This window comes from Homo sapiens, chromosome 15 (genome assembly GCF_000001405.40).
Source record: "Homo sapiens chromosome 15, GRCh38.p14 Primary Assembly".
Taxonomy (NCBI): Eukaryota; Metazoa; Chordata; class Mammalia; order Primates; family Hominidae; genus Homo; species Homo sapiens.
Genome location: NC_000015.10, coordinates 89,544,528 through 89,546,213, shown reverse-complemented (window position 1 = coordinate 89,546,213; position 1,686 = coordinate 89,544,528).

Sequence of the window (1,686 nt, the reverse complement as noted above, 5' to 3'; positions counted from 1 at the left end):
CCAAGCATCAGGCCAAGGGGACCCTCCCAGGTAACTGCCTGTACCACCCTGTCCCCGGCCCACTGACTTTTACTGCCAAGTTGGGTGACTGTGCATTTAACCCGAGAGTGGCCTGGGTCCAGCCTGAGCTGCTCTTGCCATACTGGCAGGGGTTGAGGTGGAGACAGGGTTGGCTTGGAAAGACTTCAAGTCAAATATGAAGATAATTTGATTCATTCAGCTAATGGCCAGTTGGGATGGGCAATTAGTGCAATTAGTGTGAGAACTGAGTGGTGTAGGAAGTGTGGTCAGCATTGTTGGTTCTTAGCATAGACACATTCCATTTGAAGATGACAGGGAACACTGCACAAGTCAGAGGTGCTGAGTAGGTGACATTGTCCCCACAGGCACCTACAGGCCTAGCGTCCTCTCATCTGAGCATCTCTGACCTCATGGGTGTAGTCCTGGGGCAGCCCAGTTCTTTTTTCCTTAGCTGTTATGTTTATTCATTGAGTGTCCTTGTGTGTTTATCCTGATTACATTCATACACACATACACATACACATACGTATATATAACCATACACATATACCTATATTTTTTACTAAAAGCTAATACTTGCTTATCACAGAAAATTTAGGAAATATGCATAAGCAAATTGAATAAATTAAAATCATCACCCAGAGTTAACCTCTATGAACCTGTTATGTAGTTCCTGACAATGCTTTTTTCCCAGTGGGAACATACCACAAATAAACATTGTCAGGAACTACATAACATTTAAAAAATAGATTATATCAATTTTAATCAATTTTAAAAATAGATTATAGGCTGGATATGGGGGCTCACACCTGTAATCCCAGCACTTTGGGAGGCCTAAGCAGAAGGATTGCTTGAGCCCAGGAGTTTGAGACCAGCCTGGGCAACATAGTGAGACCCTGTCTCTACCAAAATTTTAAACATTTAGCCAGGCGTGGTGGTATGTGCCTGTAATCCCAGCTACTTGGGAGGCTGAGGCAGGAGGATTGCTTGAGGCCAGGAGTTTGAGGTTGCAGTGAGCTGTGATTGAACCACCACACTCCAGCCTGGACGAGAGTGAGACCCTGTCTCAAAAAAAAGAAGGAGGAGGAGGAGAAGGAGGAGGAGAAGGAGAAGGAGGAAGAAAAACACCATCTTGCAATCCCTAATCCTAATGAAGTAATTGATTCAGGCAAGTAGTATCAGTGGATGTTAAAACCATCAGGTAAAAAGTTTCTAGGGGGAAAATGACTGGTCTAAGGAAGAAAATACAGTTACACTGGAGGGAATTGTGTCCACCATCTTAGCATTACTGCTAGTAGGATGACATCCTGTGCTTTCCAAGGCGATGGATTAGGCAGTCCACATCACCTGGGATATATTCTTCCCAAAATATTAACCTGAGATCAATCAAGACTTTAAATCTAACTTCCAGTTTGTAGGAAATGCAAGGGATATGGAACATATTAAGTGACACCACAAGGAAAGAGTCAGATACATAGACAGAACAATTCAACTGGACACCGGCGTGGGTTCTTCAAATCAATGTTAAAACACACACACACACACACACACACACACACCACAAAACAAAACCAGTGGGGATTCCTTGAGATTAAAGACACATAAGTTACATGATAACCGAATCCAATTCTTGGTCCACAGTTGGAGGCTGCTTTGAATAAACCA